This window comes from Homo sapiens, chromosome 22 (genome assembly GCF_000001405.40).
Source record: "Homo sapiens chromosome 22, GRCh38.p14 Primary Assembly".
NCBI classification, from domain to species: Eukaryota; Metazoa; Chordata; class Mammalia; order Primates; family Hominidae; genus Homo; species Homo sapiens.
This window is the reverse complement of record NC_000022.11, coordinates 34,048,047-34,074,152: the sequence shown is the minus strand read 5'-3', so window position 1 is coordinate 34,074,152 and position 26,106 is coordinate 34,048,047. Positions and strand designations below refer to the sequence as shown.

Genomic DNA, 26,106 nt, shown 5'->3' with positions numbered 1-26,106 from the left:
GTGATCCTGCAAGATTTTTATTGTTGTTGTTGTTGTTGTCCACGGCTCTGTGAACTTGCACTTACCAGGCTGAAACCTCTGCCTGCCACCAGTGGTACATCAGTTGTCCACCCCATAGAAAAAGTTACCTAGGGGCGGCACTGTGTCTTCTTATTTCTGCCTACAGAATTTATCTAGCACAGTTGCTGGCAGCAAGAAGGCACTCAGGAAATGTACTGAATGAATGAATGATCAGTTCTTCAATAAGGGACTCACTACTTTTAGGTAAGTAGCATTCAGACCTGCAATAGCTATTTCTTAAGTGCCTATTCTGCATTGGGCACACAAGCGTTATGCCCAGTGTTGGGCTGAAGCATTAAGCAAAGCAAGAGAGATAAGAAGCAAGTACAGAAATAAAGAAACAGGAGTTTGACGCCAGCCTGGCCAATGTGATGAGGCCCTGTCTCTACCAAAACTACAAAAATTAGCCAGCCATGGTGGTACATGCCTGTAAGCCCAGCTACTTGGGAGCCTGAGGCAGGAGAATCACTTGAACCTGGGAGGCAGAGTTGCAGTGAAACGAGATCACGCCACTGCACTCCAGCCTGGGTGACGGAGTGAGACTCCGTCTCAAAAAAAAAAAAAAAAAAGAAAGAAAGAAACAGGATATTTTAGAGAGGGATGAGTGCGATGAAGACAATAATGCAGAGATATGAGAGAAAGTCACTGAAGAGCTCTTATAGACAAGAGGTCAGAGCAGCCTCCCTGAGGAGGTGACATTTGAGCTGAGATCCGTATGACCAGAAGCAGCCGACGGGAAAATCAGCAACACTGGGCTAGGAAGAATGAGCATCCTGGGGAAGGGCTTTCGGGAGGAGCAAGCTTAGGGTGTTGGGGGTACGGCAAGGGGACCAAGGATGGGAGTGAAGAAAGGGCGGAGGAGATGAGCTCAAAGACTATGCAACAGCAGGACTGTTTGGCCTCCTGGGCCATGGTGAGCACATCAAGAGGGTTTTAAGCAGAACAGATGGCCTTATGTTTTGGTGAGATCACTCTGGCTGAGCTGACAAGAATGAGTTTTTGAAGCTATAGCAGGAGTAGATGCAGGAAAACCAGTTAGGAGGCCACTGCATTAGTCCAAGTGTGAGCTGACAGTGGCTGACCAAGATGTACTAATGGTGATAATGGGGCAGAAAATATTTCAGAAGTGGCACCTACAGAATTTACTGGTGTACTGGGTGCAGACAGTAAGGAAAAGACAGGAGTCAAGAGTGGTTATTGTATGCTCAGGGTTTCTAAAATAACACATCCCCATTACTCAGACGCCTATAGAGAGGACATGCTTCCATCTCTCCTCCACATCCAGCAGATGGTGCCTGAGTGTGAAATCTACCCAGCACGGCCCGGCTGCCTCTTCCTACTCCCCAACCCACCTTCACTTGAACGAGCATCTTTTCCTCCTCAAAAGTACTTCCTGAGCCTGAAAGTCATTGCTATTGATTTATCCAGCAAAATGTAATTTGGGAAAAGCTGGTGTCCTTCTCTTTCTGTAAAGAATCATTTGTACCCAAGAAAGCACTATGTAAAGGATGATGGCTTCCATCAATTACAGCCCCATTGTGGGGGTGGTAAAGCCATTTTTGTGAGTCAACAAAGCCAGGGGAGTGTTAGGAACCAAAATATTTTAATAATGTGCTGATTTTGAAGGAGGTTTGGTGTCTTGGAGGGAAGTGGCCTGAGCCAGCTGCATGCATTTTTGCCACGTGGTTGCAGGAGCCCTTTGAGAAGGTTGGGAGCCTCATTACCTCAATAGCCTATTGTAGATAGCGCACCATTAAATCCTAAGCTGGGCTGTGAAATTGATTTTTTGCATTTTATTTTCATGCTTTGCTGTGGTTTGAATGCATCCCCCCCCAAAAAAAAAAAGTTAAAAACTTAATCTCCAATGCAATAGTGTTGACAAGTGGGGCTTCATGAGAGGCGATTAGGCCATGAGGCAGAAGTGAGTAAATTAATGCATTATCATGGAAGTGAGTTCCTTGTAAAAGCATGAGTTTGGTCTCTCTCTCTCTTTCTCCCCCCACTTCATTCTCTCTGTCTGTCTTCCTCCTCTCTCTCTCTCTCTGCCTCTCTCCCTCTCCCTCACTTTTCTCTTCCATTCTTGCATCATGTGAGGAACAGTTTCCCGCAGTGTTCAAGGTACCATCTTGGGAAAAGAGAACAAGCCCTCACCAGACTCCAAAGCTGCTGACACCTTGATCTTGGACTCCCCTGCCTCCAGAACTATAAGAAATAAATCTTTCTTCTTTATAAACTACCCAGTCTCAGGTGTTCTGCTATAGCAGCACGAAACAAAACAAACTAAGACACATTTTAAATGACAGATATGGGAAGGTGGGTGGCTACTTACTTTGAGAAACCAAAATCCAAAGATGGAAAATACACTCCACCTCCTGATCCCATTCTTTCCTCCCCCACCTGGTACATATGTGGCAGGTTGAGCCCCTTAGCAGGTTGTCAGACCAACTTTGCTCACAACATATACCCAGCATGTATTAATTTAGTCCTGCAAACAAAATATGTTATTGAATGTCTTCAGATGCTCTGGGATTATAGCCATGAGCAAACAGAGGCAAGGTCCCTACTCTCATAAAATTCACATTCCAGTAGAGAAGAAGAGAATGAAATAACACATAAGATAATTTCATAGAGTAATGTAATAAAGATCATATAGCTGATTGCTATATAATAACTCCAGGGCATGGTCTGGCAAACCTGTCTTGTGAAGAGCCAGAGAGTAAATATTTTTGGCTTTGGGGCCACACAGTCTGTTGCAACTACTCAACTCTCCTGTTGTACTATGAAAGCAGCCTTAGACAACAGGAAAAGAATAATAGACAATAGTAAAGGAATAAGGAATGAAACAGAACAGGTGGCAAGCCAATCGCCTTCTCTAGGGGAAAGTGGAAGAAATATTTAGTAGGATGGAGTGAAAAGATGATGATATTTAAGGTGAAGTCAGAATGAGAAGAAACCAGCTACATATAGAAGGGAGGCATTTAAGACAAGGGAATAGCATGTGCAAAGCCTGAGTCAGGACTATTTCAAGAACAGAAATGTCTACTGGTAAGGTAGGGCAAAGGGAAGAGGAAGGAGACACAGCAGTGCAAATTCAGGTCAAGAGGTGGGCAGGAATTAGGTTGCAAAGGGCCTCCTAGTCCATGGTGAGGCCTGGCACATAATAGACCATCCTGCTGTTGCATAACCTCTGAGCTCGTCTTCTCCACTGTTTTTCAAACCCTGCTGAAAGAGACAATAAGAAACTAGAGAATTTTCGAGAAAGAAAGTACAAGACCACGATCCTTTATCCACTCTCTTGAAATTTTAAAAACTGACAACTGAAGGTTTTTTCCTAAGTTTGGCACAAAATCACTTGGCAGCAAACACTGTCTGAATGTACAGGAGGCTATTTATGGTCTTTATTTATCCCTCTTCATGTGAATATTCATGTATTTCACTCTTACATGTTTGGGTGTGGGGTACTGCCCATAGTACAATGCCAGACCTACATAATACACTACATCTGGCTATTCCTCCATCCAAAAGATTCTGAATTTCTGGAAGTCTCAAAGTTTTAGATAAAAGATTATGGACTTCTACCATGATCAGATTCATAGTCTTTAGGAGGAAAACTCTATTTGCAGTTTTAAAGATAAACTGGAGGAAGCAGAGAAGGAAGCTAGTTAAGAAACTACCGGAAAACCGGTGGTGAGAAATATGGAGAGTTGTACCAAGCTGGAGATGCTGGGGATGGAGGAGTTTGGGAGATATGTCCCAGGAGGATCAACATAACTCAGTGCCTGATTGGAGGTGGGAGGTAAGAGAGGAAGGAATCCAGGATGAGCCTCATGCTCCTCGCTTGTAAGAGTGGACAGATGGTGAGCCATCCCCCACAAGAGAAAGCCGAGGATGATTAGAATTAAGAAGAAAAAATGCTAAATGCCAGGTTGGACATGTGTATGTGAGGTTCTTCTGCATCCTGTGCTTGCAGACATGTGGTAGGGAATTGGAAATGTGGGTCTGGAGCCCGGGAGAGAAGCTGGTGTCAGAGGTACAGATTTAGGAGGTGTCGTGAGTTAATAGTGTTCCCCAAAATGACATGGCCAAATCCTAACCCCAGTGTCTGTGAATGTGACCTTATGTAAAATTAAAGTCTTTGCAGATGTAATTAAGTTAAAGATTCTTAAAGTGAGATCATTCCGGGCTTACAGTGGGCTCTAAATCCAATTATTGTTATCCTTCTAAGAGAAAGAAGAGAGGTTTGAGACAACACAGAGGGAACGCTACGTGAAGACAGAGGTAGAGATTAGAGTGACGCAGTGCAAGCCAAGAAATGTCAAGAATTGCCCAAGCTACCAGGAGCTAGGTGGGAGGCATGGAATGGATTGTCCCTCAGAGCCTCCAGAAGGAACCAACCCTGCTGACATCTTGCTGTTGAACCTCTGGCCTCTAGAACTGTGGGAGCATACATTTCTGTTGTTTTCAGCCGCTCAGTGTGTGGTCATCTGTTATGGCAGCCTCAGGAAACTAACACAAAAAGTTCCAGTCATGCAAGGCACTTTCAGTCTCAGAATATGGTGAGAAACAGCCAGGCACCATGGCTCACGTCTGTAATCCCCACATTTTGGGAGGCCGAGGCGGGTGGATCACCTGAGGTCAGGAGTTCAAGACCAGCCTGGCCAACATGGCAAAACCCCGCTCTACTAAAAAATACAAAAATTAGCCAGCCATGATGGTATGCACCTGTAATCCCAGCTACTCGGGAGACTGGGGCAGGGAGAATTGCTTGAACCCAGGAGGTGGAGGTTGCAGTGAGCAGAGATCGTGCCACTGCACTTCCAGCCTGGACAACAGAGAAAGAGTCCATCTCAAAAGAAAAAAAAATATGTATACATATATATGATGAGAGAGGAGAGAGGGACCTAAGGGCAGAAGTCAGACGACCCCAACATTGAGTAAACAACAGAATGGGGACTGAGAAAGGGCAGTGGGAGAGGTAAGATGAGAACTGTGAGAGTGGATGCTCAGAAAGTCATACACTCCAGGCAGGAAGATGTGCTCTACGGTGTAAAATTTTGCAGGGGAGACACACAGAATTAAGGCTGAGGAGGAATGCCAGATTTAGGATGCAGGTCATTAGTGACTTTGAGTTGGAGCAATTTCAGTAAGCTAAGGAATAAATAATATGTATGAAAAGTGAAATCAGTAAAGGATTCTTTCAAGAAGTTCATCAATAATGAAGGGAAGACAGTAGCTTGAAAGGGCTTAGGGTCCGGAGAAATGGTTTTAGGGTGGGAAACATGAGTGTGTTTACAGGCTGTTTGTAGGAACTAGTGCTTGGGCAAGATTGTCAAGGTAGAACAGAGGAAAGGAAATGAAGGAGCTAGGACTATGTAATAGATATAGTCAACTATCTGTCAACATTTGGGGTGCCTAGTACAGAGTGTTTCTTAGTATGAAGCTATTCTTGGGAAGCAGTTACCCAGTGAGAGGCAACTTTCCTCAGCACCCCCTTGTAGCTAGGTAGGTACATGTGATCATTTCTCACCAAAGGAATGGAGTGGAAGTGGTGAAGGTCTCCTCTGAGCCAAGGTGGGTGAGAAGCGGGTATACCTTCTCCACTCTTTCTTCTCCTATTCGCCAACTGGAGGCAGAGAAATTCACGGTCCTTGGGGATGGCAGCACCGCAAAACAAAAGAAGCCTAGGTTCTTAAATCACCACCTAGGGAAAAGTCTCCCATTAATAGGAAAATCAGTGTTATGTGGGTGAGAAATAAACATTGTCTTAAGTCACTGAAATATGGGAGTTTATTTGTTTTAACAGCTGGTGTTACTCTAATACAGTCTGCATATTATGTATACCCTGATCTCATACTGCTGGGCTCCTGCCACCTGCTAGAGAGCTCAACTCCTGCCAGACTAACTCCTTAATGACCATCTGCCTGGCATCTGTCCCTTTCCAACTAAAGGTCTTTCATTCATTGAACACAAATGTATTAATCGCCTACAATGTGTAATGCACTTGGAAGGAGGTAGGAATGCAGCCATGTACACGATGAATCTCTACCATCATGTGACTTATATTCTAATGGAACAGACAGACAGACAGTAAACACATAAACATAGAATATAATATCAGGTAGGACTATGATATGCTATAAGTAAATAAATAAAGCAGAATGAAAGGATAGAAAGCGGTGGGGAGGATGTGGTGCAATTGAAAATAAGTTGGTCACAAAGGCCACTTTGAGGACGTAATGTGGATGAAGAGACTTACATTAAGTCACCAGACAGACAAAGAAAGAGGTAGAGGAAATGTAACTCAGACAGAGGGAGCAGCTCACACAACAGCCCAGGGAAGAGAATATGCTTGGCATCTTTGGAGAGCACCATGGCCAGCACAAGGGGAGTAACTGATAGGAGGTGAGGCAGAAAAATGATTAAGAGCCAGATTGTAGGGGGCCATGGAAGCACTCTCAATCCTGTCCTAAGAAATAGGGAGCCCCTGACTCTGTTTAGCCTCAGCGGCAGGGAAGGCTTCACTAAGCATTTTCCAAGAGCCTGGTCCTTTCTTGCAGACATGTCCAGTTTCTAGGACTCAGCTCCTGTCCATCTTGTTCCCTGCCCTGTTATGTGTTCTGAACCCCCACCTCTCCCCAACCTCCAGCACTGACCAGCCAGACTGCTGGGTGCATTTGCCAAGGATAAGCAAGGTAAAGGTGTTTTTCATAGAGAGGTGACTCTTCTGCAAAGAAAATAAAGCTCATACATAGGCTTACGAGCAAAGCAGCAGCACCCACGAGGCAGTGAGCACTAAGTCTATATTTGATCTGAAAAGCATGCAGACAGGCGGGCGGGAGCCCAAACACAACTGCTTATGCCTTATGCGATTGCAAGTGAGTAATTTTGCCTCCTGGAGTTCCAGGAAGTTCCTCCAGCTCTGAAACAGAGCCATCCCTCATACTAGAAGGCTGCAAAAATACATGGAAGGGCTTTGGGGCCTCCACAGGTGGAAACACTTTCAACCGTCACAATAACTCGCTTTTGCAAACTGCACTTCACTCATTACATCTATGTCAACCTCCTGACATCAATCTAAGTGGGTAACTAGCCAATTTTATTTTTTAAATGAGGAAAATCTGACCTAGAAAGGGAAAATAATATGCCTAAGATCACAAAGCCAGGGACTGGGTTATTCTTGTGAACCTTAGTTTTAAAATGTAATTATTCTTCCCTGCTTGAAATTGTCCATGGGTACTTAAAATAAAATTTGAACCCTTTCCCGTGTCCTTCAAAGTCTTATACCAGAAATTAGCAAGCTACAGCCCATAACCTTATCTTTTTTTTTTTTCTTGAAACAGAATCTCACTCCGTCACCCAGGCTGGAGTGCAGTGCCATAATCTCGGCTCACTGCAACCTCCGCCTCCCAGGTTCAAGTGACCCTCCTGTCTCAGCATCCCAAGAAGCTGAGACTACAGGTGAGTGCCACCATACCCAGCTAATTTTTGTATTTTTAGTGGAGACAGAGTTTCGCCACATTGGCCAGGCTAGTCTCGAACTCCTGACCTCAGGCGATCCACCCGCCTCGGCCTCCCAAAGTGCTGGGATGACAGGCGTGAGCCGCTGCGCCTGGCCAATGTGATCTTATAAATAAAGTTTTATTGGAACACTGCCATGCCCATGTATTTACATATTGTCTGTGGCTGCTTTGTACCATGGCAGAAGTGCTGAGTAGTTGTGACAGAGGCAGCATGGCCCACAAAGCTGAAAACATTTATGATCTGTCCCTTTACAGAACAAGTTTGCAAACCTCTGATCCCCATGGTCTATCCAAGCCAATCTTTCCTTTCTGATCTCTTTCATTCTCCCTTCTACTCAAGAATTTCTAGTCACATTGGTTTTCCTTCTCTTCCCCAAACAAACCCGGATTTTTCTACCTTGGGGCCTTTGCACTTGCCATTCTCCCTGCCTGAAATGAATTCCCTCGCCCTGTGCTGGCTGCCTTTCCAACTCTCACACTGCTGACTCTCAGGGAGGCTTCCCATGATCTCCCCATCTAACATGGCCTGGTCCGACGTCAAACTCGCTCTGCTTTTATTTATGTATGTATGTACGTACGTACGTACGTACGTACGTACGTATGTATGTATGTATGTATGTATTTATGGCATATATCACCTTTTAAGTTATCTTATTTGTTTATCTACTTATTGCCAGAGTGTCGCACTAAAATAACATCTCCATGGGAACAGGCACTCTGTCTCAGTCACAAGGAAATCCATGATATTACAATAATGCCTGACACATAGAGGGTATTTCATAGCCAGGTGCTCAATGAATTTCATAGCCAGGTGCTCATAATTCATAAAGAATTAATGAATGCATCATAACTAATCCTTATTCTACACATCAGGCTTTCTCAACCTTGGCACTGTTGACATTGGGACTGGGTAAGTCTTTGTTGTGGGGTTGTCTTCTGCATTCAAGAATGTTGAGGGGGCATCCCTGGCACCTGCCTATTCGATGCCAGTAGCATCCTTGCAACCCCTCCCCCCTGGAATTGTGACAATGAAAAATGTCTCCTGACATTGCCAAATGTTCCCTGGGGGACTAGGGAGCCAGGAACTGAGCCCTAATTGAGAAACACTGGGCTACATGGTTTAAAATTTCCCTTGGAGCTTAAAATATAATGGCAAGCTTTTACCCAGGTCCATAATCATTCCAGATTTCTAATTAATTATAGCCTCGCCTATGGGTGACCTCTGCTTTAGGGCCAGCTCCTTGACAAGTTGATGAAATTGCTTCTTTAAGGAAGTATCAGCATTGTTTTGGAAACAAAAGTCCAAGTCAGAAACTACTTTAATGTTTTCAGTAAGGAATGATTAATAATGAGGGAGCCGGAATGTATAGAGCTACAAGTTATTACCCCATTCTTGACTGACATAAACGTAAAGAGATGTTGTTTTATTGCAGTGAGGATGGTAGAGGGGAGGAGGCAATGTGGACAGAGAGGCCAAGGTCCTCTCTTGAGGATTTGGCCATTTACAGGGGATCAGAATTATTAATGTGAGTGTTTTGTTAAGTCTTTTTCCACGACAAGAAGAAAAATGGATGAGCACAGAGATAAAGCAAATGCACGGACTGGCAAGGGCTGCCTGCAATCTCTGGGGTACACAGGCAAAGGGAGGATGTGGAGTCATTTAGTGGTCTTGTTTTCTGCGAGGAAAATGCTGAGTGCGGGGAGTCTGCTGGTGCTGCAACCTGGCTCCTGCCGCTGCTTTGATGAAGGGCTGGTCAATGCATTTTGCTCAGTTCCTGGGGATGGATTCTATTTTAATAGCTCTGGCCCCCCTGGGGAGTGGCTTAATGTGCCACCCAATGGATACGGCCATGTCTCCGAAAAGGATGGTTGCCCTTCAGCTGGTGACCCATGAGGAGGAACTCAGGCCAGGAAAGGCTGCCTTGACCCATAAGCAGCATTTTCTGATAAGAGTGAGAGTTGGAGGGGAGACATTGGGTAGCTCGGTCGGTGTCTAAGAACCAGGCCATTGAAGTAAGTAAATTTCTCCCAGACTGACTCCCCCTGGATCCTTTTTTCCCTTCTGACAGCCTCCGGGGACTAATCCTGCTTCCTGGTCCTCATCATAGCTGCCAGAACTTCCTGTATTTTTCACACTTTGTCTCTCACCAAAGACTAGTTTCAGATCAAGATACAGTCCTGACTCCCGATTTTCATTGAAGAAAACAAGCACACTGCCTTTTTATTCTTGGGGTTTCAGGGCTGAGAAGTAGACAGGGGTGAATGACAATAGTACAAAAAAGAAATGTCTTTGTGGAATATGTTGTTTTTAATTTTCTAGCACTCATTCCCCCTTCTAATTGTAACACTCACATTTGGGGGGAATCCACTGCTCCCTAACTCTGAGTCTTTAGGATCTGGGTCTGGCTAGCCTCAGCCACACTAGATTCAGGGGTAGGCACGAGACCCAGGCCTGCGCCAATCATGCTATTCCATCCTTCTGTTCATAGTCATAGGCTCACAGGTGGACAAATGGCCCAGGTCAATCCAATCATCATTAATTTGAGGGCTTATCCTGAAGGTGGGGAAGAGCAATGTTCCTTCTGCCTAATTTGGGGAGAGAACAGGATGAAGGCCAGGAGTTGACAGAAACCATTTTGCCACCACCACTGGGGAGCCAGCCAATGGCTTCAACAGTGGAAAGCAGAAGATGAGGTGGGACACCATGACTGCATCACAATGACCATGTGGGCCTCTGGGTACAGCCATGCCTGAAGCTATCCCTAGTCCTGAACTTGTCAATTACATAAGATATCAGTTATGTAAAAGGTCTAATTTTTTAATCAATCATATTAGGGTTAGATTTTGTATCTCTTACAAAAAAGAACCTTGTATTTTAACTGACAAGTTCCCAGATTCTCATAAATTTCTCAGATACATGGTCTTTAGTTAATGTTTGTTTACTTTATTCTCTGTGACTCCTGAGCCCCTTTCTTGAATAGTAGGTAGATAATCCTTCCTGAGAGGATTCCTTCTTTAATCTCAATACTGGAAGCTTCTAAATGTGTGTTTTTTGAGTACTTCATATGTTCAAGACACTATACTTGGTTCTTTACCTAGGTTTTTTTTCCCCATTTAACTCAGGTTATAAGAATATGTGGTAGATCTTCTTACCCCATTTAAAGATGAACAAACTGAGATTCAAAACACAAAGTATGTGGTGAATGTCAGACAGCTAATAAGTGGCAAGGTGAGCATTTAAACCCAGATCCCCTCTCTTTAGTCATATAAGCTCCTCTCCCACTGAAGCCTGGAGTTACAATCAGGCAGGGCAACAGTGATGTACGGCTTGATGATTCAGTAACGACAACACAATTCACCATTTGAGGACTCAGCATAAGTTAAAGCCTTGGGCTAAGTACATTAACTATAATATCTCTAGTACTCACACAATATTGTAAGATAGAAATTATTTTCTTGTCTTCATCCCCATGTTATGGACTGGAGATACTAAGCCTCAAAAAACTTAAAACAACTTGCCCGAAGTTATACAGTTATTTCAAGAAGAGATGGAATACCAAACCACAGAGACACCAAAGCCAGGGTTCTTCCCAGTAGGCCAAATTTCCTCCCAAGCCTCAAGTGAGAAATTAACCTCTTAAGAGCGTTGCTTTCTCCCTTCCCTATAAATCTCTGCTCCATAAAAGAAAGCTCTTCTTAGGAAATCCCATCATATGCCATCCACTTAAATGCTTGATACTGAAAAGCTCAACTTCCCAGTTAAAATGAAATGCTTGAAATCTGAGTCCATGACTTACACATCCTCCACACACCCAGAGGCATAGCCGGTGCATCACAAATACTTACTGAACAAATGAGGAAATCCTACACTGTTTCCTTAAAACCCTAAGTCTAGGTCTTTTGCCCAAGTGAAGGCCATGGAGATTTCCCTGGAAATCCTGCTGAAAATGCAGATACCCAGATATAAGCCCGGGCCTGCCGGATCAGAACATAAGGAGACAGTGCCCAGGAACCTGTGTATTAGCAGGCACCCAAGTGAGAGTTCTGTGCATCAAAGTGTCTCCTAAACAGCAGCCAATCTAAGGGATGAACCTGTGCCTTATTCTTTCATGTAACACATTTCTTGAGTGTCTCCTTTCCAATTTGTACCTTGCTGACTATTAAGAATAAACTGTAACCAAGGTCCCTGCCCTCAAGGAACTTGGAAGAGGAAAAAGAAAGCATAGAAACAATGACAAAAGCTATTATTTACTTTCAATTGTGTCAAGTTTCACTGGAACACACGATGGGAGGGTTTGACCTTGTCTCCGTTTATACGTTTGTGTAGAGGGAGCACTGTAGGCCTTGTGGGCCAAATTACTTACATTCTAGGCTCTGAAGATTGGGTATTAACTAACCAGATAAAGAGAGAGAAAAGTATTGCAGGCATAAGTAATAGCATGTGCAAAGGCCTTGAGATGGAAAGATTAAAAAGAAAAAGGTTATAGAAACTAAAGGAAAGGGAGAGGGTTTAGCTTGGAAAGACAAGGTAAAAATGCTGCATTGTAATGCTAGTGAAGAGCATCATGGAAGGGTTTGTAGACCACAATCAGATTTCCATTTTTAAAATATCCACCCAGCTGCTTTGTAGAGAAGAGCTAGGAACAGGACAGGAATGGAAGCAGGAAAACCAATGGGGAGGCTATTGTTACCCAAGCAAGAAATAAAAGTGATGTGGATAAGGGTGGTTGTGGACAAGGGAGAGACACAATATATATTTGGGAAATAAAAATGGCAAATCTTGGTGATGGATCAGATACCAATGTTAAAGGAGAAGAAAGAGTTGCAAATGACTCGATGCAAACACACCAGAAGGGAACCAGGGTTCAGTCAGGGAATATGGATGAGCTTGATTTTGGAAATGCTGAATTTAAGTGTATCATAGGCAAGGCTCAATTGCAGGCAACAGAAACCACTCTAGCTATTTTAAGCAGTAATGGATGTAATTCCCAGAATTATGTGTTCTCTCAGTTATCTTTTACCACATAACAATCCACTCCAAAACTTTGTGGCCTATAGTAAGAGCCATTTACTTAGCTCACAGTTCTACAGGCTGTTGATCTGAACTGGGCTTAAATGGTCAGTTCTTCTTGTCTTGGCTGGCCTCACTCTTGTCTATGGTCACTTGTAAATGAGCTAAAGCAGCTCTGCTTCTGGGCATTGACTGTCTACTGGTTGAGGGTGATGAGGATCACTAGGCCGCATCTTTCTCATCACTTGGCAGGGTAGCTTGGGCAATGCACATGACTCCTGGAAGAGCTGCAAAAGAGAAAATGCACACAAGGCCTCTTAAGGTGTAAGCTCAAATGGGCACAATGTCACTTAGTCTCATTCTGTTGGCTAAAGCAAGTTACAAAGCCAGCCCAAATTCTTCTTTTTTTTTTTTTTTTTTTTTTGGGAAAGAGTCTTGCTCTGTCACCCAGGCTGGAGTGCAATGGCACAATCCTGGCTCATTGCAACCTCTGTCTTCTGGGTTCAAGCGATTCTCCTGTCTCAGCCTCCTGAGTAGCTGGGACTACAGGCGCCCGCCACCATGCCTGGCTAATTTTTGTATTTTTAGTAGAGATAGGATTTTGCCATGTGGGCCAGGCTGGTCTCGAACTCCTGACCTCAGGTGATCGGCCCACCTCGGCCTCCCAAAGTGCTGGGATTACAAGCGTGAACCACCGTGCCTGCTCATCCAGCCCAAATTCTAAGAGTGGGAAAATAGACTACCTCTTGATGGAATGAGCTGCAAAGCCTCATTGCAAAGAGGCATAGACATGAAGAGGAAGAAGGGATTGTGGCCATTTTTGCAAACAATATACCCCAGGTACTTAGAAAATTACTGGAAGGACTGAGGAAACAAGCCCCATGCTCAGCCTCTAGCAATGAGTGAGAATTTGCCTGCTGGGGGAAATTCTGCCTCTGCCACAATCAGGAACCTGGAAAATCCAGAGGCCACAACCAGGACCACTGACTTTAACAATATGCCATTGTCATTGTGACCCAAGAATCGAGAAGCCACTCTTGCTGCCACTTCAGCAGCAACAGCTTTTCCACATCCTGGAAGGCGGTGATAGGAGCCTGGAACCCCTAAGAAGAAAAATCTAACGTCTCAGCTACTGAAGCAGGAAGATGGCCTTTACCTTCCAAATATCATGAAAGTGTCTATAATTGGAGGAACCTGATTTTTAACCTGATTTCACTGCAATGCCAGCTGCAAGGGAGTCTGGGAAGTATAATTAATATAATATATTGCTAGCTTTCCAGCCTCACTAGTATAGGAAGTTACTCTAGAAGGACTTTGGAATGAATGCTGGGTGCCAGACCACCACAAATAGCTCAAGGCAATTGTGAAAAAGCCACACAGAAATGATACAGAAGCAACTGGATAGACGTAACTATGACTCAGGTAGGAAGTCCAGGCTGATTTGATCTGGAACAAAGATCTGAGGAATTTATCATTGCCTGCCTAGGACTCATACCAAGACCAAACATCCTAACCATTCTGGAATATAGTTAGCATCCTATCCCATCCTCATTTCACAATGCTTCTTGCTTTCCTTAAATTACACTAAGGAGGCAGGAGTCTAAGCTTGCTACTCGATAGCTCTGTGAATTTGACAGTCCTCCTCCCTCCCACAGCCTTGGTTTTTTCCAAGTACAGCAAGATGAGGAGCATTTATCTGGATAGATGAATCTTAAAAGTCCCTTTTAACAATAGATTATATGAGCATTCCTTGCCTCCATTGCACAGGTACCATTTATCCTCCCGCTCCTGAGTCTCTTTGTCAAATGTATGCTTCCCAGCAGATGGAAGGGCTTATTCACTTGATACTTGGCAATTACAGCGAGGGAGGTGCCCTGGCTGCCTGCCAGGCTGTCCTGCTCCTCACCCCTGCTGAGCAGCAGCCATGACCCCAGGCCTGGGCTCCCTCCTTTCTCTTGCCTCATTTCACCCCTCCCACCTACACATACTGGTACCCACCCAGGACCAGACCTGGCCTCAACCTGGGGGGCAATTATAGGACATAATTCAATTGTCATACAGAGGCAGCTTAGTGGCTGGAATGTCAGTAAACCCCTTATTACTCAGAGGTTACTCAGAGAACAGCCTGGTGACTGGTAAAAATGGGAACCAAAGAGCTTCTTTCTGTTGGAAGTAAAGCTCAGAGTCTCAAAGAAAATGAGCACTCAAACAAAAGATTTCTCAGCAAGGCAAATTTACTTCTGTAGAAGGGTGCTTCTCGCAGGGCTGATTGCCATGAGAGCACTCCAAACAAAGGAGGGAAAGGGTTTTTTTTATTCCTAACGCAGCTTGTCCCTACTACTGTGTCCTGTCTCCACTGGCTGGAGTTGGACCACACAATCTAAACTGAACCCGATTGGCTAACCTGAAAGACAGCTTTGGTGGAAAAAGCCATTACAGTGGGAGAGGTAAATTATAGAGTGAGTAGCAGATGTGGGCTCTATAGATAAGGAACATTTGGAGAGTTGCTTACTGGAACCAGGAGCAGAGAGGCACAAAGGATAAGGAAGTTGGATCTTGAAAGCAGAGAACAAGAAACTAAACAAACTAAACCTTTGAAGAGGAACTTCTCTTGGAACTGATACTCCTATTGGACTATGCAATGGAACTAAAGGATCAACTGAGAGAGGTAACCAAAGACAGAAAAATCTAAACATTTAAAAGTTCTCTTTGTCTAATAATAGAATATGAGAAATAATTTGGCCAGGGTAATGCCCCAGACATAAAAATGAGTCACACATATCTCTATATTTGGAGACTACTCTTAGTGCACTTAGCAGAATGGTGGGCATCCAATGTTTTACTGTCCTTATTACGGGTTCCAAATTGCTTATTCCAGGAACTGACATAAAGAGTCCCCTCTCCCACCTCTTGTCTCAAATTTTAGTCCTGAACAGATAACTCCCCTATTTTCAGTCAGGGAAGAATCAGTCAGGAGTCTATTGCAGAAATTCAGGTAAGAGGTGATATTAGGGATGGTGGAGGCTCAGCAGAGGTAGTGGCAGTGGAGATGCTAAACAGTGGTCAGGTTCTGGAGGGAGGGTTAGCCATCAGAATTTGCATTTGTTGGGGGTTAAGTTCCCTTAAACTGAGAATAAAGGAATTTGGAATGTCTTCCAATTGTTTTGGCTTGAGCTACTGTATGGATAATGTTGACATCTGTTGAAATTGAGATGTCTAGAAGAACAACAAAGCTGGAGAGTAAAGGTGATAACTTTGCTGATGTTACACTTGAGATGTTCATAGGCTGCTGAATTGGACATGTGAAATAAGACAAATGGGTATGGGAATCTGGAACACAGGAAGGTCAGGATCAGAGATAATTTCTGCATTATCACCAAATACATAGTTTACAAAGGCTTGGACTGGATCACTCAAGGAAAGGATACAAACAAGACAGGAAGCCTAACCTAAGCCCAGGGGCAGTCTATTATTTTGAAACCAGTCAGAGGATAATAAGTCAGCAGAGGACAATTAAAAAGCTAGTGAGGTAGGAGTCTACGCAGGACAGGATGGTATCCTGAAGCCAAGAGCTTCAGCAGCCGAATAGAAGAGGACATAGAAGTCCAAATCACCCCTCCTGGAAGGACATTCGATCAGTGACGTCATCTTCACAGAGCAAGGGAAGCACTTGCAGAGGAAATGATGTTGAGTAAATAACTATATGATAATCAATAACCATATCAGGCAGAAGAACAATTTGGTTCAACAATAATTGTAAGCTAAAATTACAGATCACAGTTTGCATTCATTTTGAGAGCTTAAGCTGGAAAGCCTCAGTCCCTAAAATAGGTAGAAAACAAATGGACAGAAAAACTCACTGTGTACTCAACTTCATTCTTTGGCTAATATCTCCAAAGTTTCCACTAATTTTTCTAAAAGTCTTAATGTGCAACTTATAATTGTTTTGCGATGCTTTCAACTGTAGCTAATCAGTGGTAATTTAAAGTGAAATGAGATGCTTCTGTTACACAAGGCAGAAGAACACCAGAGAAAGGAGAGGGCTGATTCAGATTGTTCTAGATCCAGCGGTTCTTAACCTAAAAACCTTGGGGAGCTGTGGATAGAACTCGGGGGTCTATGAATTTGGATGGCAAAACATTTGTTCATCATTATTCACTAACCTCTGATATTTGGCATTTCCTTCAGTATCTTTGACTCTGTCACCAAAATCAATCACAAATATCTTTATATCATATTATAGTTGTTGCAGATACCTGGAAATACCATCTATACTCATCTACTTCAAAGAAGACCTGCATCTAGGTTTTTATTATTTAATGCATTAATAAAGAAACACATGCATTATTATATCATAATTTTGGTTTGTTTTCTTTTATAGCTATCTTAGTAACTGAATTTGAATATAATTATTTGGTACTCCTTTGTATTTTATCTTTCTTTTTGAGATGGAGTCTCACTCTGTCACCCAGGCTGGAGTGCAGTGGTGCCATCTCAGCTCACTGCAACCTCCACCTCCCGGGTTCAAGCGATTCTCCTGCCTAAGCCTCCTGAGTAGCTGGATTACAGGCATGCGCCACAACGCCCGGCTAATTTTTATATTTTTAGTAGAGATGGGGTTTCACCATGTTGGCCAGGCTGGTCTTGAACTCCTGACCTCAGGTGATCTGCCCACCTTGGCCTCCCAAAGTTCTGGGATTATAGGCGTGAGCCACTGCGCCCAGCCACGTTTTATCTTATGCATCTAAAATAATTATTCTGAGAAGGAGTCCATAAGCTTCACTAGACTGCCAAAGGAATCTATAATATAAAACAGATAAAGAGACAGTGTCTAGAAGAAAGTATGGCCCCAGCAGAAGAGAATTGCTTCAGGAAGACTAGAGATGATAGTGACAGCAGGAGCAAACTTGATCTCAAGGAGAAGAGATGCAAGAGGTGAGATACCACACGTAAGAAAAGAGAGACTGTGCCTCAGAAAATCTAGAAAACATCAAGTAGGAGAACTCAAAACATTATACTTCTTCATACACCTGGGTAACAAAAAAAAGGGGGGGGTGGTGTTCCTTTTTTTGGAATAGACTGAGGCAGAAAAGTCCAAATCAGCAATTTCATACTAAAGGTTAAAAAAGACAATAGTGTAAGTGAGGGATTATTATATGAACATTTCCCAATATAGGGATGCCAGACTTAGCAAATAAAAATATAAGATGACTAGTTGAATTTTGATTCCAGATAAACAAAGGATAATTTTTAGTATAAGTATGTCCCAAATATTGCCCAGGACATATTTATACTACAAAAATTAACAATTTTTAGCATGTGTATTTAAAATGTTGCATGGGGCATACTTATACTAAAAATATATATTCTTCACTTACCTGAAGTTCAAATTCAACTGGTTATCTTGTATTTTCTCTGGCAACTCTACCAATGAATCATGTCTCCCACTAGTCACACTTTTTCATAGTCCCCGCCCATATTACCTCTGACCATGTGACATGCTTTGGCCAATGAGATATCAGCAAATACGACACAGGGAGAGGCTTGATAAATGCTTGTGCAAAGAAACTAGTCCTCTTGGAATGCTGCTGCCACCGTGTGAGGAAACTGGGTGTTGCCTCTTAGAGGATGAAAGACCCCATAGAGAGAGAAGTTCAGCTGGCCCAGCTGATCCAGCCCCAGCTGACCTTCCAGCTGAATGTAGCCACAGGAGCCCAGCCCAGCCACAGAAATACTCAAGACAGGAAACCCACAGAACCATGAGGAATCATATCATAAAGCATTGTTGTTTTAGGCCACCTCTGCTGCAACTACCTCAGCTGAGGCTCCATCAGCTCTTGCATCACCTCTCACCTGGATTGCTGCAATATCCTGCTGATTGATTCCTCTCTTTCTCCTCTTGTTTCCATTACCTACACTTTATATAGCAGCTAGAGTGAACTTTCAATAAGATTATACCATTCCCATGCTTAAAATCCTCCAACTGAGTTTTAGAGGTAATTTATTATGTAGCAATAGATAAATGATATAGTACACCTTATTATAATTCACTTAATGAAGATTTCCGGAGAACCCAGTATATGCTAAAATAGGTAGATGAGCTATAATTCCCCAAGTGCTGTGATTCACCTACATCAGAATCACCCACACTTTATTTGTTAAAAATCCACATTCATGGACCAGTCCTATTGAATCAGCGCTTTAGAGGTAGGACTGAGTAATTTGCATTTTTAACAAACCTCCCTGGGAATTTTTCATCTTCTTTGGAGTTTGAGGATTACTGTGTTAAAGAGACACAAAAATCTATAGACACTACTGTGCCCTCAAGCTATGCAATCTAGGGAAGGAGACGGAAGGGTACACAGGTACTTATAATACAAGGCAGAAGAAAATGACTGCCAAAAAAAAAAGAGGTAAAAGGAAAACCCCATAAGCCAAAAAGAAAGGTGAGATTAACTCTGAGGGGGAAATACTAGAAGCCTTTGCAGAAAAAAGACCTCAGAGCTAAACCTTATAGTCTGAGTATGCATCAGCTCAGGGTAATGGAAAAGTGCTGGACTAAGAGCTTGGCTTTCTGGGTTTGGGTCTCAGCTAATGATAGCCATCATTTAGAGTGCAACTACTCTTTGTAAGGTAATGCACTAGGCTCTCTAGAACCACTCTTTAGAATAACTCTTTACAACAACTCTGCAAGATAAGTACTATTGTCTTGCGTTTCAATAAGAAAAGAGGTTCAGAAAGGCTGGGTGTGGTGGTTCATGCCTGTAATCCCAGCACTTTGGGAGGCCAAGGTGGGTGGATCACAAGGCCAGGAGATCCAGACCATCCTGGCCAACATGGTGAAACCTCATCTCTACTAAAATACAAAAAAATTAGCCAGGCATGGTGGTACACACCTGTAGTCCCAGCTACTCAGGAGGCTGAGGCAAGGGAATCGCTTGAACCCGGGAGGCAGAGGTTGCAGTGAGCAGAGATCGTGCCACTGCACTCCAGCCTGGTGGCAGAGCAAGACTCCACCAAAAAAAAAAAGAGAAAGAAAAAGAAAAGAAAAGAAAAGAGGTTCAGAGAGAGGGTGTCACTTGCCAAAGGACACATAGCTAGGAGTTGCTTGAGCAAGGGTGTAGTGCCTATCTGTCTGACTCTATAGCCCAGGTACTTTCACTATGTCACACTGCTGACCTCAAGGAGCCAGCTCAGCCTTCTGGGCCTCCATTTTTTCATTTCTGGGATGGGACACAGTGCACAAGATGATTTCTGAGGCCCCATTATTGGAGCCAAATCAACTCTACTCTAGATAATAATTGTACTTGCTGGTGAAGGGTAAGTGGGTTCAGTAACTAGAAGAATGAACCTCAACCTTAAGGATTTGTTGGTATGTATCCAACCCAGAAAATGCCAGTCGAGAGCTACCTGTCTGTCACTTTCAAAAACTGTAGCTCTAAAGACCCTGCCTACCTCTTGTGAGAGAATGAGAATGAGGGGGAAAGGTATGATGGTGGGAGAGAGGCAGGCTACTGAATATTTGAGTAACTGAAGGAATGATTGAAAGGATAAAGAAGGTAATGAATGAATGACAGGGAAACAGAGGGTTGGGGAGCTCTGATAAAATGACCTCCAATTCCTCAGTCAAATTAAGAGGAAGGTCATCTGCTTGAGAGTTGGGGAAATACACACTCCAAAGACAAGCAGAGTTTTGCGAGTGTCCATGAAGGCAGGCAGTATGACAAGGTGTGCGCATCTACCTGTGCAGCAAGACCTACCTGTGCAGCTTTGGCTTTTGATGGTCCAGAAGGAAAGGTGGAGAAAATTAGAGGGACAGAGGAATCCCAGGAGAAGGTGAAGGGGTCACCTGAGCCCTAGCACAGTGATGGCAACCCCAGACCAGCTGCCTCGTAATAAAGGCTGAGTGTAGGGCATGTGACACTCCCTGCCCTATGTTCTGTCCAAAGTGGGTGAGAAGCCACTAATTGATGATGAGATAAACAGAGAGTTCAATGCAAAAGGTCAGTGAGGACATTAAGATGCCTGGGTAGTGAAGCATTGGGATCATGAGATTCTGAGTCTATGCAGGTTAATGTGATGGTCAAGGATATCAGCCCATGCTGAGAGCCCTCAATTCCATACCAAATTAAGTCAATTCAGATCACTTAATTATGTTCTGAAGTTTTCTCTCACTTTGAAGAGAATAAAAATACTTCAATTTTATTCTGATTTCTGAGAAAATTAGACTGTACATGTAAGCACTGCAAAAATTAAAAAGTGTTTTTAAAACGCAAGAGGTTGCTGTTGTTAACCAAGGAAATCTTCCAGAGGGGGAGTAAAGAAACAAGATTTACATGCCAAGCACCAGGCACTTTATAAACTATGTCACATCATGTAATTGGCACACTCTGAAAGATGTGTTCTTGTCTCCACTTTGCAGGTAAGGAAATTGAGCCCAAAGATCTCTAGCCAATAAGAAGCAGAGCCCTGTACAACGTCTGGCTGGGTGCTTCCCGGGCTGTGATTTGTGTGTCATTGCTTGATTTCCCTTTTCAGGGTGCAATCCAGAGAGTTCATCTCTTCAAATATTTGCTGTACTACAGCACATTTTCCATTGCGAAAAGCCATCCTATTGATTGAACCCAATTAATAGAATCCAATTAACAAGAATCCAATCTAGCATTTGACTTTTCAATAATGTTTAATACTACTACTTCCTTCTAGTTAAAAGGATATGAGTTGGAAAGAAGTATTAAATCTGAACAGGCCCCTAATTGAGGCTCTCTTCCAGTAGTAATAATGATCAATTTTATTTACATAGAATGTTATCTAAAAAATTCAAGGCATCACACATTGACTTGCATGTTTGAAACTGAACCTTTTATTTTCTCCCTACACCTCTCCCACCCTTGGCTCCCCTTACCAGTCTTCCTCGTCTCAGCTAACATCACTAGCATTTGTTCTACTGCCAGTTCCATGTTTAGGGGGCATCATTTTCTTTTCCCTCACTCTTTCCTTGTTTCCCATCCAACCCTGGGTCCCATACCCATTCATTTCTCCCATCCTCGCTGCCAGTGCCACACCCCACATCTTTCACTTATTCCTCTGCCCAGGCCTTCTTTCTAACTGGTCCTCCATTGCCAGTCTTAGCCTACTCTGATCATTCTCACACAGTAGCCTAAGCTATCTCCTTAAAACATAAACCAAAGTAAGTCAACTCCCTGCTTAGAATCCTCCAGTGATCTGGAGTTACGAGTCTTGTGCCAGTGTTAATTTGTAGGTTCTGATCAATGTGCCATGGTTAAGTAAGATATGAACATTAGTGGAAACTGGGGAAAGAGTATCGGAGAAATCGCTGTAGTATCTTTGCAACTCATCTGTAAATATAAAACTATTTCAAAAGAAAATTTTTTTTTGAGATGGAATCTCGCCCTGTCACCCAGGCTAGAGTACAATGGCTCAATCTCAACTCACTGCAACCTCCACCGACCAGGTTCAAGTGATTCTCCTGCCTCAGCCTCCCATGTAGCTGGGACTACAGGCACGTGCCACCATGCCCAGCTAATTTTTTGTATCTTTAGTAGAGACAGTTGGCCAGGCTGGTCTCGAATTCCTGACCTTGTGATCCACCCGCCAAAATTTTTAAAAATGTTTTTAGTCCTCCAATGCTCCAAAGATGTTCCTTTGACTTGGACTAGGACTGACTCCCTCCCACAGCCTGCCTTATCCATTGATATGAGTTCTTACCACCTTCTCCTTGCTCCCCAAACTCCATTCACTGTGGCTTCCTCTCAGTTCCTAGAAAACACCAGGCTTCAAAGTCCTTCCTTACCTAGAGGTTTATTCACATGCTATCTTTTTGTCTTAGTAACTTCTTTCTCTGTTTTTCATGTTCCTTCTTTTTGGTTCTCAGGTCTCAGTTTAAAAAGCCCCTGGTCAGAGAGGTCTCTCTGAGCCCCACTCCCCCATCTAAAGTGGTGGTTTCCTCTTGATCCCTGCAGACACAATTTGTAACTAGTTAGTGTGCTTACCTCTGTCTTGTGTCTTGCACCTCACTATGGGTTCCATGAAGGCAGAGACCTTACCTATCTCTCATCACCCTCTTATCCCTAATCTCTAGCACAGTGTCTGGACTGTGGAACATCCCTGAAATGATTCTCCTGTCTCCTCCCCACTGACCTGCAATGCGGTTTCTAGATGGGCATTTGGTGTCTTTAGTGTTCTCTATGTCTGACACTAGGATTTTCTTCATACGAGCCCAGCCCTTAGGGACCTGGAGAAACATGTCTTCATCAGGGTTATCATAGATATAGATACATTGTAGAATTTACCACCTATATTTTAGAAAATTGACTTCTTGAGCAAGGTTGATTTTTTTTTTTTTTTAATGAGAAAAAACCCTTCCTGCATACTGTCTGATTCTTGTCCTATTTTATGCCCTTCCTCAACACAGCCCATTAAAAGGAGCTGGAAAACACAATATTAAGAGATGAAAGAAATCAGCCTGCCACTGAGACCTTCGTCCCTAATTTAGGAAGCCGTGTCTCAGGGGACAGCCTTCCATCATCCCCTGAAAGCTTTTGATATCTTGTGACCTTTAGCTCAGCATTTTGGTGCTTGGATTTCTTCCCTTCCCCCGTATTCTAGTTCTATGGATCAGGCAATTATTGAAATTACAAGGATCCTGCATATCATGCATGGGAAGGGGACAGCCTTCAAAATACATCGTGGTTCAGTTTAGTGAATAAGAAAATGTGATACAAATAGCTGCCATTTATTGCACACTTTATTGAATGCAAGCACTGGGCAAAGTGTTTGCCTTATATTAGCTCATTTGATTCTTCACAATGATGTTGTCCCAACATCTAGGACGGGCATATCATAGGTGCTTGATAAATATTTACCTAATAACAAATGAATAATCCTCCAACTTAGGTATTGTGAATATTCTCATTTTATAAATGAGGATCCTGAGCCTTAGAAGTACCAAGTAATTTGTGAAACATGACACAAGCACAAACTAGGAAATCCAGATTGAATCTATCTCGAGTCTTTCCAGTTTTAACAGCTCATCATCACAGCCCTCCAAATTCAATTCCAAAACTCACTTTGGATACAGCCTCATAATATTGCCTGCTCCTAAAGGACTTAATACTCCCTCAAATCTAAGGACTATCATCCTCATACCCAGGACTTCTCTACTGATGTTCCAGGTGATTGCATCCACATTCTGTTTTAAATGAAAGAACAACCTCATCAAGAGACCTTTCTTCAAAGTAGCATTTGCCCTTTAAATTTGAAAGCCATCTGACACTGTATTTCTTTCATTAGTTCAGGGTTGCTAGATTTCCAGTCGCTTTTACAGCCAGTAGCTGTATAGGGAATACTCAGAGGTTAGGAAGTCCAGATCAGTTTAGCTGAGTAGCCCAATGGTAAAAACACTGGTTTGACTGGTGTTTTCACCAGACTGCTGGTCAGAAACCAGGAGAGCAGAGTCAGCTAGCCCTCCTACCTCACAAGGCATCCAGCCTTCACATAGGGAACAAGAAGCCACAGTGGGGGAAAACCTAGGCAAGGAGGTACATAAGAGAAGCATCTCTTAGAAAATAAAAAAACAATGATTGAAGTACTATTTATTGAGCAGGACAATCATGTAGGAATCCAATGGGAATGGTGCCCCTGGAGTTGTACAGTGCAGCAGACCACTGCACTAAACACCTTATGCAGTTTCTCTCAATTAATTATCACAACAAACTTTTGTATAAACAATATCATGAGGAGCAATTTCAATGAGGAAAGTGAGTCTCAGAGAGATCAAGCATCTTGCCCAAGGTTACACAGCTACTCTATGAGAGAATTTTACCAACTATTATGAAAATCAGCAAGAATATGGAAAAGGCCTGTGTAGTGGTGAAATGGACTAGTAACATGGTTTGGATCTGTGTCCCCATCCAATCTCATGTTGAATTGTAATCCCCAGTGTTAGAGGTGGGGCCTGGCGGAGGTGACTGAATTATGGAGGTAGATTTCTCATGGATGGTTTAGGACTATCCTTCTGGTACTGCCTTAAAATAATGAGTGAGTTCTTGCAAGATCTAATCATTTTAAAGTGTGTGGCACCTCCCACATCTCTGTCTCGCTCCTGCTCCTGCCACGTGAGATGCTTGCTCTCCCTTCACCTTCCATCATGACTGGAAGCTTCCTGAGTAGTCCTCAGAAGGAGATGCCTGTGTTTTGCTTCCTGTACAGCCACAGAACCGTGAGCCAATTAAACCTCTTTTCTTTTAAAATTAACTGGTCTCAGGTATTTCTTTATAGCAATGCAAGAATGGCCTAACACAACTGGGCTTTGGGAAACCTGGATTTTAGTTCGAGTTTGCGTCTCACTTGGAACTTGTTCATGGGCTGGTCTCTTCCCTGCTCTGAGCCTCAGTCTCCTCATCTGTAAAAGTAGGAGACTGAATCATACTGGGCAATTTTATGGGGGTTTACAGACTGTGGATAGCTGGTGCTTGAAAAACAGAAGAGGGGAACCTAGAACAAACAGAAAAAGAGGGAAGACATACAAGGATCACAGGAGGTAATATTTGACCTAGGGTTTAAAAGACAAGTAAAAAGCTGGGCACTGGCCAGGCATGGTGGTTCACGCCTGTAATCCCAGCACTTTGGGAGGCAGAGGTGGGTGGATCATGAGGTCAAGAGATACAGACCATGCTGGCTAACATGGTGAAACCCTGCCTGTATTAAAATTCAAAAATTAGCTGGGCATGGTGGCACACACCTGTAGTCCCAGCTACTCAGGAGGCTGAGGCAGGAGAATCGCTTGAACCCAAGAGGTGGAGGTTGCAGTGAGCCGAGATCACGCCACTGCACTCCAGACTGGTGACAGAGTGAGACTCCATCTGAAAAAAAAAAAAAAAAATGCTGGGCACCGTGGCTCATGCCTATAATCCCAAAACTTTGGGAAGCTGAGGCAGGAAAATCTCTTGAGCCCAGGTTTTCAAGACCAGTCTGGGTAACATTGGGTGACCCTGTCTCTACAAAAAATTTAAAAATAACATAAAATAATAAAAGACAAAACAAGAGTTTGTTGAATCAGATAAAAAGGGAGATTGGGATTTCAAGCACTGAGGAAAGAATATTCTAAGGGATAGAAGTAGTAAAGTGGTAAGCATAATGATGATGAATACTGGTGGCTCTGAGGTCAGAAAGGCTGAGACACAAATCCAGCTTCACATTTCCCAGCTGGAGAGTTATCTAGTTACCTGGTTATCTCAGTTCTCTCATCTGTAAAAACAGGGAAACAGTAGAAACTACTTTATGGGTATTGAGAATATCAAATGAGATTATCTACATAGTTCCTGGTCTAACATAAGCACCCAATATTAGTAGCCGCTTTTACTATTACTTCAATTGTTGTCATTAAAGCCTTGAGCAAATGGCACATTCAGGGAAGGGCAAGTGGGTTGTTGTAGCTGTCCATTCACCAATTCAGCAAACATTTATTGACAGCACATGTGTATCAGATATGTT

The 26,106-nt window shown here is 43.2% G+C and overlaps 1 long non-coding RNA gene across 22 annotated transcripts in view; it reads right to left on the bottom strand.

The window, feature by feature from the left end:
- LINC01643 (long intergenic non-protein coding RNA 1643) overlaps positions 1-26,106 on the bottom strand; it is a 201,365-nt gene that overhangs the window by 144,644 nt on the left and 30,615 nt on the right. The gene's annotated exons all lie outside the window — the stretch shown is intronic.